A 16,071-nucleotide genomic window follows, 5' to 3' on the forward strand; every position below is an offset into this window, starting at 1 on the left:
AGAGGCAGAGATGTTACCTGCTCATGGATAGAGTGCATTTCCTCAGAGTCTATCTTTTTTAGCATGTTCCCAAATATATTTTATCAGTCCGTTCTCACACTGCTAATAAAGACACACCCAAGACTGGATAATTTATAAAGAAAAGAGGTTTAATTTTTCAGCATGGCTGACAAGGCATCAGGAAACTTAAAATCATGGTGGCAGGAAGGAGAAGAATGAGAGCCAAGTGAAGAGGGAAGTCCCTTATAAAACCACCAGATCTATAAGAACTTACTATCATGAGAATAGCATAGGGAAACTGCTATCATGATTCAGTTATCTCCCACTGGGTCCCTCCCACGACATGTAGAAATTATGAGAAAGTATGTGGAAGTTATGGGAGCCACAATTCAAGATGGGATTTGTGTGGGGATACAGCCAAACTGTATCATATATCATTCATATTTTACCAGGGAACTTGTTGTACAACTCCCTTTCTATTGGAATCTCTTTTTATATCACCCATGAGACTGTAGATAACTCAAGCCTCAAGTCACCATAGGTAATGCAATGTAATCTGATGCTCTTTGGGTATGAGGGCTGTTTCTTACTAGAGCCAAAAAGCATGCTAATGCCTGTATCTCAAATAGGCTGTTCTCAGACACAATATCATGAATTTTTTTTAGTCCAGAACTCCTGCAACCACCTATAAGTAGCATTCTAAGGCTTTGGCTAGGGACTCCAGTCTATGTGTATTTTAGTAGTGGACTTCTCTAAAACTGCTGGTTGTATCAGGATTATAAAATCCCAAAAAGACAGCTTGGCCTACCCTCTGCTCTGGATATCATTCAAATCCATTGCTTTTTCTAGTCACTTTGTATATCGGGGCCAACAGGATTTCCAAATATGGCATATGTGTCCTAGAATCCAAACAACTCTTTGAGAGTTTGTGCCTCTCTTGCTAGTAAAAATGGGTCAGGACAATTTGTTCTTTACTGTGTGTGAAGTGCCTCTAGTGGCCAGAGTATTCCTAGAGAAAAGACTGACCAATCTGGGTCCTGAATCTTAATCAGATTTTTTAGACATCCTTATCTAGTCCTATTGCAGCTATTGTTTGTAAATCCTCCTTGCCTCCATTCTCAGCTTACTTTCTGAGAGGGGAGGTATCATCGTATCATCAGCTTCATGAATCAATGGGCTTTCAGAAATGAAGAGACTCAAATCTTGTCTTATAGGGCAGTAGCTAAATCCTGGAGAATGTGCATAACCTTAGAGGAAGATAGTAAAGTATATGTAATGAAATATCTCTCATGCAGATAAAAATGATGCTTGGCATTTTTTCCAGATTCTATTATCAAAGCACATTCCCTGCCGAACCTCCTGGTAGTTTTTAATCATGTCTGGCATAACAGAGACTTTGGGGAAAATTGTTTCACTTAATTCTGCATTTTCTCACAGGACAGACAGGACTAACGTGAAGAGAATTGATGGGGATGAGCACAACTGTTTCCACGACCTCTTTAATCATGACTGAGATTTCCTGCTACTTTCCTGGAAAATGATGCAGTTTAGTATTTACTACAGAAAAGGGCAATTGTAAAGCCTCCCACTTAACAGATCTGATAAAAACCTGGCAAAGGGCAAATCCCTAGCATTCAGCTATAGACCACTAAGAAGGGCAAGACCTTCTGCTTTTGCTTCATAACCTTTCCAGTTATTCATTCAAGCAGAGAATAGCAGCACTATTCTTATCTATTTCCACTATTTCCTTATCATGTTCCTCTCTGGTGCTCTACTAGGGCCTTGGAGTCTTCCCTCACAGTATCTCCTTCCCACCCCAGCCCTTAGCTTCCTCTTTGGCTTCTTAACATTGTGTTTTTGCTCCCTACATGTATTATAGTACTTTATGTACCGATATTCAATTGTCTCAAAATGTTTTGTTCACCAACCCTAGGATATTCGACTTTAACCAAAGCACATGGTCTTTGAACTGATCTGTGGGATAGGACAAAATATCCTAGCCTTCAAGTTAATCTTTATTGGTTTCTACTGTTTCTACCAATGGTGTTTATTTAGCACACTTTTTATTCAGCACTTTTCTTAGCACAAAGTTTATTCACAACTTTTGTTCTTACAGCATCATTGGATTTTTTAGTAGTGGACTTCTCTAAAACTACTGGTAATGTCAGGTTTATAAAACATAATACCAAAGGGACAGCTTGACTTGCCTTCTTCTCTGGATCTCATTCAAATCCATTTCTTTTTCTAGTCTCTTTGTATACTGGGGCCAACGTATGTGTCCTCCAGAATCCAAACAGCCCTTTGAGCCTTTGTGCCTCTTTTACTAGTAAAAACGAGTCAGGACAATTTGTTCTTTACTGTTTGTGAAATGCTTCTAGTGGCCCTAGGCCAGATTATTCCCAGAGAAAGGACTGACTAATCTGGGTTAAACTCACACAGATTGGCTTAAAGGGATCATATCTCATGGGATTCATTAAGGAAGGCAGCTGGCAGATACGGAGCAAATGTTCCTTTTCCCAACTGGTGATAATGAGCCAGTAAATCTTTTCAGATAATTCAATAAATTTCTTATCTTTTCATCTTGTGTCTTAACAATAAATTTCTTATCTTTTCATCCTGTGTCTTAACAGCCACCTAATGACAGCTGTATCTGATTCACCCTTTTCTTATATCTTTAACTGCCCCCTCCCCTTGCCTTTCTTTGACTATCCATTTTAACGGTTTCCTAGGAGATAAATCTAGGTAACTCAGCCATCCAGGCATGAAATGTTCATCAAAATCTGCTCCCCAACCCTATCCTGTCCTATTTCCTGCATCACAATGATTTGACTCAAGGGCCTGAAAGCCAAGGCTACTTCTGACACCATTGTCTAGCACAGCATTTGTCTTCGGCTAGCAAGCTGAGTCAGGAGACACAGGCAAGCTTTAATATAATACTGTTTACTTAGCATTATAGAAGGAAATAGGCAATACATGAAACAGGTGTACCATCTTCATCTCATCATCACCTCATCTCAGCAGCTACCCAAGTACAAAAAAGTAGTAAAAAAAAAAAAAAAGATTTCCTTTACATCCTCACACACATATGTATGCATGGCTGCCACAAATGATTGCCAAGATGTGTGTGCAACCTTGAAACATGGAAGCTACAGCCTCTATTTCCCACCAACTTTTTATACCATAGTTATCCCACAGGCTCAAAGCCCATGTGCATGAAAACTCACAGCCCCTCTAACCTGAGGCAGATGTTGTGTTCCGCAAAACAAATGAGCCAGTCAAAACATTCCTCATTTGTCTTAAAACTACTGTTTCCATGGAAACAGTCCTATGAGAATCTAAGATCTTTCTGAAGCAGTCTTGATATGCAGGCTTAATAGTAACTCTTCATTCACAAAAGCTTTATACATACATATGTATGTATGTATGTATCTATATATGTGGTTAAAGGTGATGTGTTAATCACCTTTTTAAAATATCTGTATTTATATATTGTTTTCATTTACCACTATCCTTTTGTCTAACCATTTCTAATTTATGAAACACAACACAAACAGAAAGGTGCACAAAATATTAAATACAGTAAAATATAGTATGTATATATAAATCATCATGCATCCATCCCCCAGATTGAGAAACTGAACACTGTCATCACCTCCAAAGCCTCCAGGCTGTTACTTCCCAAACTAAGACTCCTCAATATTCCTTAGTCTTGTGCCTGTCTTTAACTTTTATAATAATCACAACTACATATTGTTTCAGTTTTATCACTAAGTACACATTGCTAAACAATACAGTTGGGTCTTTCCTATTTCAAATTTTTTATAAATACTACCTACTGATTTGTGTGTTTTTGATTTTTTTTTTTGCTCAACATTCTCTAAGATTGTGCAGTGGCCATTTGCTTTTCATTACTATGCAGTATTCTATTATATAAAAATGTCACAATTTATTTAATTCAGTCTCTTATTAATGGTTATTTGTTTTATTTCAAGTTAGGGTAACACAAAGAGTGCTCCTTATAATATTCTTTGCATTTCTTTAATGCAAGCATTATCACTTTTGTTTTGTTTTGTTTTTGTTTGTTTGTTTTAAACAAATAGAGTAATGGATAAAGAGAGAAAATGTCATTTACTTAATATCATGATGCTGGTAGAATTGGACTTTAAACCTAATTCTGAAGTCTCTGTGACTCCAGAGTCCATGTTCTCAATTTCTTCAATAGTTCTTGTAATAAGAAGCACGTTTTAATGAAAATAGTGACAATTGAGATGAAGACAATTGACAAATTCAACCAGTTCTAAGAATACAGATTCAATATGATTTTGTGATTGAGGCAGTTGCTGAAGGAGATGGAAAAATCAATAGTAACATTGATTAAGCACCTGGCTTGAGTAAGTGATTGGTGGTGTCATTTAGTGAAATACTAAATACAGAAAAATGACCAGGGTTGGCAGATCAGGAATTTAGATGGACTTGAACACACTGCATTTCGTACCTGCAAGACACCACTTGACTAATAGTAATAGCTAGCATTATTGAAAACTAGCAATATGCCAGGAATTGTTCTGAAGTATTTACATGCATTAATTTGATTCTCACAACAAACCTATGAGGCAGATCCTATTATTGTGTCCATTTTATAGATGAGGAAAGAAAACTGAGGGAAACAAAAGCTTAGTAGAACCTCAATGTTACAAAGCTAGTAAATGAGATGTTTACTTAAGCAGCCACTTCTAAAATTCATATTCTTAAGCATAAAATATGTAAAGTCTTTTGATAAAATGTCATGGGCAATAGGGAGTGAGCTATACAGAGGCTGAAGCTTAGGTAAGAGATCTGGGCTGGAATATAAATCTGAAAGTATTTACATGTCATTGAATATATGTAATTATTAATGTAATATATGTAATCAATTACATCATTAATTATGAGCCATAGGTGATTTTGCCCCCTAGGAGACATTTGGCAGTGTTTGAAGACATTTTGTTTGTCATAACTGGGGTGGGTGCTAATAGTATCTAGTCTGGGGGGTGGGGCAGGGAATTTGCTAAACATCCTACAATGCACATGATTGGCCCTCACCACAAGAAATTATCCTGTTCAAAATGTTAAATTGAGAAACCCTGTCCTACACAGATTAATCATTGGATGGAGGCCCACCTAGGAAGGAAGAGTGATGCGGACTAGGAAACTCTTCAGCTGAGACTTGTCTACTGACAGCACTTACAGCAGCTCTGGTAATAAGTTCTTTATTCCTAACTAGGAATGTATCAGTGTGTCACAGCATCTGTCATGATTATGGAAGGGAGATAAAGAAACACAGCCAGATGGGTCCCTGACGCAGGGGGAACCCTGCTTTCAACCACCTGCTGGGTTCAACAGTGTATGAAGTCATGCCTTTCCATTTCCTGCAATTCTGATGCTTTGACATCTCAGGGTTTTGCTGATCCTGGAAAGCCTACCCCTTCCAGGACTAGCCATCTCCTGGCTCCTATGTAGCCATATCCTACATAGTAAATGACTGGCCCAGGACTGTGAGATTCATATGCAAACCAACAATGCAGAGCTTTCACACCCCACAACCTCCTCTAGGAGGCTGTCACACTCAGGGCCACTATGCGCTGCCCTAATCACTCCAGAGTCAAATACTAGACAACTAGGGACAGTTCCTATACCCCAGAGTCTGCTGGGATTATTTAAACAAGCCAATTCTAAACCTGTTTACCTTGCTGCAGAAACCAAAATAAAGGCTCTTGCTCACGCTCTCCATCACCCCTCAAATCCTTCTGCCTCCTGACTGAATCTGGTGCTTCCCAGCATGGCCTTGTGTGGCATGGCATACCCCTTCCTCTTGGGAACAAACTGTCTATACAATGGCCAGTGTCTCCTGATTTTTGGCGTCACAATACCTGAATAATAATGAAACCTACATTTTAAACTGACTAGGTTGTTTGAATGATTAATTTATTTCTGTTGGGGTTTTATTTGTACGTATGTCTTTTATTTCTTCTTTTTGTATTGAAAGCATTTAAAAACTCTCTGCACGAGATTTGGTGGTCGAGTGGGTGCTATATTTACTATATTAATGCAAATTTTCATTTTTTAAAAATCTGTTTAATCTCCATGATAAAAAGTATATCCACACATGGTATTTGTTATAAACATTATAGATGCACTGTCATTGTCTTATTCACTATCTACCTATTGCTAATACATTCCACCTCTCTGATTTTGAGTCAGATAGTTTATGCGCATAAAGCTTCTACCAAATATTTAATGAAGTATTGTCATTTGTATTGCTTTGTAAAGAATCTGTAATCCCCTTTGATCTGTGTTAATGAGTCATGCATTGTTTATTTCCAAATAATTACTTTTTAACTTTAGCTATTAATGGCTATTTTGTATTGTGATCTAATAACATGGCGTGTACAACTTCAGCTTTTCTTTTTGTAACTGATTTAACATTTTTCTGGCCTATTAGATGACCAGTTTTTACAAAAGATCCATTGGCTTTTAAAATAAAGTGTATATTCTGTTTATTTGGAATATACTTGATCTCTTTATTTTAAAAATCTATAAATTAGAATAGTATATAGCCTTTACTTTTTTACTTTTTTCTTACATGAGTATTCAAAACCTGGGAGATGTTTCTTCAAAGCTAAATTTTTTTCTTTTCTAACTTCATTTTGTAAAATTGTATAGCACAGCTTTTACTTTAAGTATTTTGTAGCTATGTTATTTTTCATATAAAGGTTTATGATTCTAATATCTTCATTGTGGATATATCATTTTTAAACATAAAACTGAAGTCTTTTATAATTTATGATGACTTCTTTGCCTCAAAATCTGATACAGCTGATTTTAATGTTATGATCTTTCTTTTGTTTGCCTTTAGATGATGTATCTATGCCAGTCTCTTTTTCTATTTTTCTTTTCTTCCTTTTTTTTACCTCTCTAGGTCATATTCCCTTAGGTACGTCCCTTGGAAACCACATATAATTGGACTGATCTTTAATAGAACAGTTTAACCCATTCAAATTCAAAACTTTTAAGTTGTTATATCTGAAAACTTTGTTCATTTGCCCTTTCAATTTTAACTTAAAAAACGCTTCTTTACTGTCTTTTTCTTATCTGGATCCTTATGGAATACAATGTTCTCACCTTTATTGCTAACGCTTCATATAATATATATCTTATTTTAAAATTTTACAGATACATAAAAGTTAAAAATAAATTCCAATGATCAATTTCGCAAACCAAATAATGCTTTGATACCACCTGATAGAATTCTGAATATTAGTATTATTTTACTTTGCTTCCTTTAGCTCTCATTCACCTCTCAGTTGGGTGAAACGAGGTTTTTATAATCAGAAATTTGAGATGTAGATTATTATGGTCATTTTCACATGTTATATATTCTATCTTATGAATTTCCTTTGTATTTTGTTTCAAAACCTATTTAGAATATTTAGTTCAATTTATTTGATTTCACCATTTATAATGTCTAACACTGAGCATTCTTTAGTCTTTTATGTGAATTAATCTCTTAGCTGTATATATGTACATCTTTCAGTAATTTTTTCCTCATGGAGAGAGTTCTTGTTATTATATCTGTCACTTCAATTTTTACCTTCCTCCTTTCAATTAACATCCTTCTTTTGTCAATCTGTTGATATTTCATCTTGTATTTTCTTTTTGTACCAGAGACCATATTTTAAAAATTGTACTAACGACACAAGCAGATGCTTTAAAAAATGTGCTTTAAATTTCTGATAATAAACCTTTTCCAAGGTATGTCCTTGCAGCTTAAATGCTGCTATATTTCTTTTATGTAGCATTTGCCAATATACTCACATATCTTTTATATCTGCTTATCCTGATGAGGAAAATATATATCCAAACAAGATATTTTTCCATAAACATTGTGGGTGAAATTATAGACCATCTGACTCTATTACAACCTCCCCTCACATGGATTTTGAGCCAGAGAGTTTATGGACCTGCAGAGTCTCTATCAAAATTTCTTATGTCCAGAAGACATTTATCTTTTTTGGCTGTCTGGTAGTCTTTTGAAAAGGATAATTCATAGTTCGATGATTGGAAATATTCTCTGGCTCTTCAGATACGCTGAGAGGGAAATGGGAGCAATCAGAATACAGGGCTTTGCAGCTCTTTCAACCACAGTACCTTCTACTGCTGCTGCCACATGCCTCAGCAGAGAGCACCAGTTGCCTTCCATGTCTGTCATTGGCAGGAATAAAACAATGATCATTTTATTTCTTAAATGAACAGAAAGAGCCACAGATGGGACAAACTGGATGATATGGTGGTCTTAAACGTTTTAGAAAACAGCTCCTTCCACAATATTAGAGGATTAAAAGGTTAGTGTTGTGGTTAGTACAGACATTGGGCATTGAGGCAAGAAACTGTCTGTGGCAGAACAATGCAGACTAATGATCTGTAGGTTTACTCTTTTAATATTCCTCAAGAGACATAATAAGTGTCAGTATCACCCATTAATTGAAGTTTTTTCTTTCAGTATTTTTCACTTGTAGGTGTCTGTCTATCCTCTGCTCCCTGTTCTCTAACAGCTGGGGTTTCCTAACCCCCATCCAGAGCCCTGTAGGTTCTAGGGCAAGATTTACCTAGATAGTTTTCTCTAGTCCAACCATCTGACACTGAGCTTTGTCATCTGTGCCACTGGTCTTGCTGTTGTTTTGAAATTTGTCTTGCCTTCATTCTCACATGAAGCTCTGAAGAACTGGGCCCCTGCCTTTCCCTCTGTGGATTCAATTCCCTCTCTTGGTTAGTTTCCCAATACTTTAGGTCCTCTGGGTTTACCCACGCTTGCGACAAAGAGAGGGATTGTAGTCTTGCCTTGACATTCAAAGCCTGTTGCCTGGTCTGAGGGGGACTTTCAGATGCCACCTGTCTGTCTGTCTTCTTGCCTGCCTCTCTGCCTCCCATCCAGGATTGCTAAATGCATCCCTAACAGCACGCTTTGTCTCTGACACCACAGCTTCCAAAACTAACATCTATTGTGATTCCTTTTCAACACTGTACTCTATGTCCTGAAATGCACTTTTCCTAACTCCTGGCAGCAAGTTCTATTTCACCACTATGGTTAGGCTCATCTCTAGGTCAAGGTTCCTCTAGGGTTATTCAAACCCGTTGTTCAGCCATACATGGTCATATTAAAAATAAGAAAACTCCAGATAGGTCAGTATTCTTATCTCTGGGTTATACTAGGTCCTTCTCGTTCCAGCCACCATACAACCAACTGATCACTGATTTAGGTGGTTTCTCATGCAAAATTTTTTTTTTTTTTTTTGAGACAGTCTCACTCTGTCGCCCAGGCTGGAGGGCAGTGGCACAATCTCAGCTCACGGCAACCTCTGCCTCCCGGGTTCAAGCAATTCTTCTGCCTCAGTCTCCTGCGTGGCTGGGATTACAGGCGCCCGCCGCCACACCCAGCTAATTTTTGTATTTTTGTAGAGATGGGGTTTCACCATGTTGCCCAGGCTGGTCTTGAACTCCTGACCTCAGGTGAGCCCTCTCAAAGTGCTAGGATTACAGGCGTGAGCCACCATGCCTGGCCACAAAATGTATTTTATAGTTGACCAATTTTCATGAACTTCACTAGAAGACCCTACATCAAGTCACTGTTATCCTTTACCTAGGATAAAAATGCTTCCAATGTTCTCCCTGTTTATTCCTGCTCCTGCCTCATTCCTTCTCCATAGGGCAGTCAAAAAATCCAGTCACTCCTCTGTTTAAAGCCCTTAAGGGACTTCCCACTTCTTTCACTTATTATTTAAAAAAAAAATTTGTTTAGACAGGTTCTCACTCTGTTGCCCAGGCTGGAGTGCAGTGATGCAAACACAGCTAACGGCTGCCTCGATCTCTTTGGCTTAAGCAATCCTCCTGCCTCAGCCTCCCAATTAGCTGGGACCACAGCCACCACCATGCCTGGCTAATTTTTACAAAAATTTTTGTAAAGACGGGAACTTGTTATGTTGCCCAGGCTGATCTTGAACTCCTAAGCTCAAGAGATCCTCCTGCCTGGGCCTCCCAAACTGCTGGAATCACAGGCATGAGCCACCATGCCTGGCCTCACATATTCTTTAAGCTTATGCTGTCACTCATCTTCATCTTCAGCTTCTTTCCCAGCTACTTTCTCTCTTATGCTCTATCCACACTGGACTGCTTTCAAGATTTTTATTTACATTCTCTTCTGTCTGGATTGCTTTCAATTCTTGTGGGCAAATGTTAACAAATTTATCCTTTATCCTCCTCAAATGGCATACCCTCTAAGAGGTTCCTTACTGATTTCCTTATTAGATTACTCTATTAGCACCCTGCAGATTAGATTCTCTGAGAGCACCCTATACTTTTTGTTGGCAGCATTAACTTTTTGAATAATGTATTTGTTTGAATATCTGTTTCATGTTTGTTTCTGATATTATCCTGTAAACTTCATGATGATGTCTGTTTAGCACATCACTTCTTGACTAGGGTCTACCAGTATCTTGAATGAACAGAGACTCAAGCATATTTGCTCAATAAAGAAAAATTGGGGTGAACATGAAGTGGAAATAAAATGTTAGCAATTTACCAATAATATTAAATATTTCTTATTAATTATATGTCTAGTGACAATATTAGGTATTCTGTGAAAATAGTGTTAGTTTGTGAGGAAATCTATCAATATTTACTTCACATGCAAGAAAAGGGAGAGGGCGTAGAATAGTTTAGTGAAAGGGAACAATATAATAACAAGTTGTAGGCCTGTGAAGAGAGTCTCATTTCTGAAGATATGCCAGAGTTCTTTGAAATATTTCTTAATTGTTCATATGAATATTTATCTGAGGCTGGAAGGGTGCAACTATTATTTTTTATTCCTTTAGAGCTAACAGTGAAATGATTTTTTTTTCAAAATTCATGTAGGAAGTAAGAATATAAATGAAATTTCTTAACTTTCCATCCTAAGTTTTGTCTGCAAAACTGCTGATAAAGCAGGTTCCTGCACCCTCCACCCTCACCCTATTCTGTGCACCTAACTCTCCATTTAACTCTCATCATGTTGTCTTCAAAGAATTGAGACTTAATGTAGCATGGCATATGAGACATCTGAAGTCAACTGCTCTCAAAGAACCAACGGATGACCCTTGTTTACTCCTCCATGACTTTCCTTTTTCCTCTCCCCTTGATTCTTGCCTATGACCCTATAAGCAGCACTTCCCAGAGGTTAATGTACAAGGCTACTTCAAGGATTTGGTAAGGTTTGGGCAAAAAAAATCAGATTCCTAGGTCTTACCCCACAAATTTCTATTTGGTAATTCTGAAGAAGGGCCTAAACATCTGAATTTTTTTTCCAACTTTTATTTTAAGTTCTGGGGTACATGTGCAGGATGTGCAGGTTTGTTACATAGGTAAACGTGTGTCATGGTGGCTTGCCGCACAGATCATCCAATCACCTAGGAATTAAGCTCAGCATTCATTAGCTATTCTTCCTGATGGTCTTCCTCCTCCTACCCCCACCCTCCGAAAGGCCCCAGTGTGTGTTCCCCTGACAATGTGTTCATTTGTTCTCATCATTCAGCTCCCACGTATAAGTGAGAACATGTGGTATTTGGTTTTCTGTTCCTGTGATAGTTTGCTGAGGATAAAGGCTTCCAGCTTCATTTATGTCCCTGTAAAGGACATGATCTGGTTCATTTTTAGGGCTACATGGTATTCCATGGTATATATGTACCAGATTTTATTTATCCAGTCTATCATTGATGGGCATTTAGGTTGATTCCATCTCTTTGCTATTGTGAATAGTGCTGCAATGAACATACATCTGCATGTATATTTATAATAGAATAATTTATATTCCGTTGGGTATATACCTAGTAATGGGATTGCTGGGTCAAATGGTATTTCTGACTCTAGGTCTTTGAGGAATCGCCACACTGTTTTCCATAATGGTTGAACTAGTTTACACTCCCACCAACGGTGTAGAAGTGTTTCTTTTTCTCCACAACCTTGGCAGCATCTGTTGTTTTTTCAACTTTTTAATAATAGTCATTCTAACTGGTGTAAGATAGTATCTCATTGTGGTTTTGATTTGCATTTCTCTAATGATAGGTTATGTTGAACTTTTTTTCATAAGTTTGTTGATCGCATGCATGTCTTCTTTTGAGCAGTGTCTGTTCATGTTCTTTGCTCACTCTTCAATGGGCTTGTCTGTTGTTTTCTTGTAAATTTGTTTTAAGTTCCTTGTAGATGTTGAATGTTAGACCTTTGTTAGATGAATAGATTACAAGAATTTTCTCCCATTCTGTACATTGTCTGTTCACTCTGTTGATAGTTTATTTTGCTGTGCTAGTTTATTTTGCTGTGCAGAATCTCTTTAATTAGATCCCATTTGTCAACTTTTGCTTTTGTTGCAATTGCTTTTTGGATCTTTGTCATGAAAACTTTGCTTATGCCTATGTCCTGAATGGTATTGCCTAGGTTTTCTTCTAGGGTTTTTATAGTTTTGGGTTTTACATTTAAGTCATTAATTCATCTTGAGTTGATTTTTGTATATGGTATAAGGAAGGGTTCGAGTTTCATTTTTTTTGCATATTGCTAGCCAGTTCTCCCAGCACCATTTATTAAATAGGGAATCCTTTCCCCATTTCTTGTTTTTGTCAGGTTTGTCAAAGATCAGATGGTCGTAGGTGTTTGGTTTTATTTCTGGGTTCTCTACTCTGTTCCATTGGTCTATGTGTCTAGTCTTGTACCAGGACTATGCTGTTTTGGGTAATGTAGCCTTGTAGATAGTTTGAAGTCAGGCAGCATGATGCCTCCAGCTTTCTTCTTTTTGCTTAGGATTGTCTTGGCTATTCTGGCACCTTTCTGGTTCCATATTTTAAAATAGTTCTTTTCTAATTCTGTGAAGAATGTCTATGGTAGTTTAATGGAAGTAGCATTAAATCTATAAATTGCTTTGGGCAATATGGCCATTTTCACGATATTGATTCTTCCTATCTACGAGCATGGAATGTTTTTGCATTTGTGTCATCTCTGATTTCTTTGAGCAGTGGTTTGTAGTTTTCCTTGAAAAGGTCCTTCACTTCCCTGGTTAGCTGTATTCGTAGGTATTTTATTCTTTTTGTGGCAGCTGTGAATGGGAGTTTATTCATGATTTGGTTCTCTGCTTGACTGTTGTTGGTGTATAGAAATGCTAGCAATTTTTGGACATTGATTTTGTATCCTGAGACTTCGCTGAAGTTGCTTATCACCTTAAGAAGCTTTGGGGCTGAGTTATAGGGTTTTTTAGATACAGGATCATGTCATGTGCAAACAAAGTTTGACTTCCTCCTTCCTATTTGAATACCCTTTATTTCTTTCTCTTGCCTCATTGTACTGGCCAGAACTTCCAATATGCTGAATAGGAGAGGTGAGAGAGGGCATCCTTGTCTTGTGCCTGTTTTCAAGGGGAATGGTTCCAGCTTTTGCCCATTCAGTATGAGTATCTGAATTTTTTAAAAAACACAACGGCTACTCCTTATGCTTATGATCTACAGAAACCCACTAAAGAAAATCAGCAGCAGTTTTGTTTTTTATTCATTTGGCCACCTATCGTCTGAAGTTTTCGCAAGCATCAACAAATTTTGTCACTAAAGCATCCACCTATGTATAGGGTCAGCTTCATTAAAAAAAAACATTTTTCACAAATCACCACTCGTTAATTCAGTATTGCTTTTGATAACTTATAAGCATTTACAATTAATGTAGATTTGTTTCTGTTTTTGTTTTAAACCACTTTATTGACATATGATTGACATGTAAAACGCTGTACGTATTTAGCATATACAACTTCATAAGTTTAGCAGTAAGTATACATCCATGATGCATCACCATCTTCAAGGTTATAAATATCCATCACCTCCCAAAGTTTCTTCCCACTTCCTTTTTATTAATCTGTGTGTGTTTGTGTGTTAGAAAGAATTAACATAAGACCTACTATCTTAATAAATTTTAACAATAAAATAGTATTGCTACCTATGGTCACTATGCTGTATAGATATCCAGAACTTATCTTGAATAACTGAAGCAGTTAGAAACTGTTAGTTAATGTTCTGAAAGGCATAAGTTCTTTAATTATTTTATTTTATCCAGCTGTCAATATAATGAATACAGACAAAGTGGATTCAACTTTTGAATTTTTATATAATGTTTCTTATTCTACCACTTTGATTACATAGGTAAAAATGTTTCCAAAGAGTGCATAAAATAACTTAATATACTTTAAGTGATTTTGGCAAGATGACTAAATATCCAATAATTTTTTAAAGTAAATTTTAATAGTTCAAATATACAGATGAAATTTGTATTATGTTACTTTTCATTCTGACTACCATACAGTCCTAGATTACCTCCAAGAAGCCCCTTTCCAGTTGAAAATGATGATAGAAATGTGATGTTTTGCATCAGACACCTGACTAAAGTATCTCTACTCATCAGACTTCTGAGACTCAACCTGCAGGTGGTCCTGCATTTAGATGTCTGCTATATTTCTCCATCTTAAATCTCGTTCGAGTAAAACAACTTAAAGGAATATCAGGAAGCAATTTATGGGAGATTATGTCTTTATTTTAATCAGCATAGAGAATTAACTCAATGACTGTAATACATCGTCTGGATTCAGCTACATTCTGTGTGTTCTCATTTTAGATGAAAGACTAAAATTTTCTGCAGTTCATTAAGTGTGATATGGTTTCCTTTTTAATTGAATTTGAATCTGTATAAATTATTATTTTTCACATTAAGTACTATTCTTCACTCCAGTTCAAGACATACTACCTCACGTTTCTATCTCATAATCATGTACCATCTGAAATTATTTTCTATGCTTCTCCAAATCTTTGTAAATTTGACTGCCTTTATGCTTTGCAAAAATAAAATGAAACCTATATTCTTCTACCTATCTGTGTCAGGGCTGAAGCAGTATAGATGTAATTGCTGATTTTTAAGATTAGGAAACTAGTATACTTATACTTACACCCCCCAATTTTTAGCTGTATAATTGACATGTTTGCAACAACATAACTTTTTAAAGTTATTTAACTTTTCTTTCCAAACTGTTTACATTAATTCCTTTGTTTTATAAAAAAAATAACTATTTTTGGAAATTATTTATATAAATATTTAAATGATCACAGCCATAAATGACCCAGTTCTTATTAGTTCAAGCTGATTTATTTTTCTATTTTAATAGAAATAAAAGCCCATTGTTAAAAGGAAGGCTATCTAAAATTGTAACAAGAAAATAAAAGTTCCTGTAATTCTGGATAAAAATATCTTTGTTTTTCTTTTCACACATTTTTATACCTATATATAAAAAGTTCTGTACAGCTACCTGTAGCATTTCACTATCTTTGCTGTTACATAGTTGGCTTTCCACGTAACAATGAATCATGAGTATCTTTCCATATCACTCTACTGTACATCTTTACATTTCAAATGTGTGTGTTTATACGTATATTTATATCACATTTAAGGTTGAAGCATAAATGAAACTACAGAAATGTATCCTTCAATATATAACCAATTTTTATGAACATTTAGATTGGTTCACATATTTTTGTTATTATTAGCAATACTGTGATAAATATCCTGATTTTTATGTATGGGTTCAATTAGTTCCTGTAGATGTATTCCTGTAGAAAAAAATGCTCAATAAAAAGTATTCACTTTAAATTTTGATATATGATTCCTGAGTATTTGCAAATGGTTGAACTAAAGGTATATGAGTGTTTCTTTTTCTGCATTCTTGATGTTGTCAAGTAAAAAAAATAAGTGTTTTTATTTTACTGTTTTCAACCTAAAAACAATTTTTAAATTCAGGTTTTAGTTTGTATTTCACTCAGTATATGGGAAGGTTAACTAGGATCGCTACCTAATTTGCAGGACTGAGTGCAAAACGAAAATCCAGGGCTCTTTGTTCAAAAATTGTTAAGGATTTCAAGACTGTGACAGCAGAATATCAAACCAAGTATGAGGCCATTATTAACTATGGTCCTGTGTGACTCCATA

At 36.2% G+C, this 16,071-nt stretch overlaps 2 annotated features.

Moving 5' to 3' along the window:
* Window positions 1,619-1,819: a silencer, noted in NCBI's record as "peak5965 fragment used in MPRA reporter construct". NCBI's record gives its function as "represses an SCP1 promoter by STARR-seq MPRAs in K562 erythroleukemia cells {active_cell/tissue: K562}" and the evidence as "EXISTENCE:reporter gene assay evidence [ECO:0000049][PMID:32103011]".
* Window positions 5,959-6,575: an enhancer, noted in NCBI's record as "OCT4-NANOG hESC enhancer chr6:95996896-95997512 (GRCh37/hg19 assembly coordinates)". NCBI's record gives its function as "activates a minimal SCP1, AML or CMV promoter by ChIP-STARR-seq in naive H9 embryonic stem cells {active_cell/tissue: H9 hESC(naive)}" and the evidence as "EXISTENCE:reporter gene assay evidence [ECO:0000049][PMID:30033119]".

This window comes from Homo sapiens, chromosome 6 (assembly GCF_000001405.40).
Source record: "Homo sapiens chromosome 6, GRCh38.p14 Primary Assembly".
Lineage (NCBI taxonomy): Eukaryota > Metazoa > Chordata > Mammalia > Primates > Hominidae > Homo > Homo sapiens.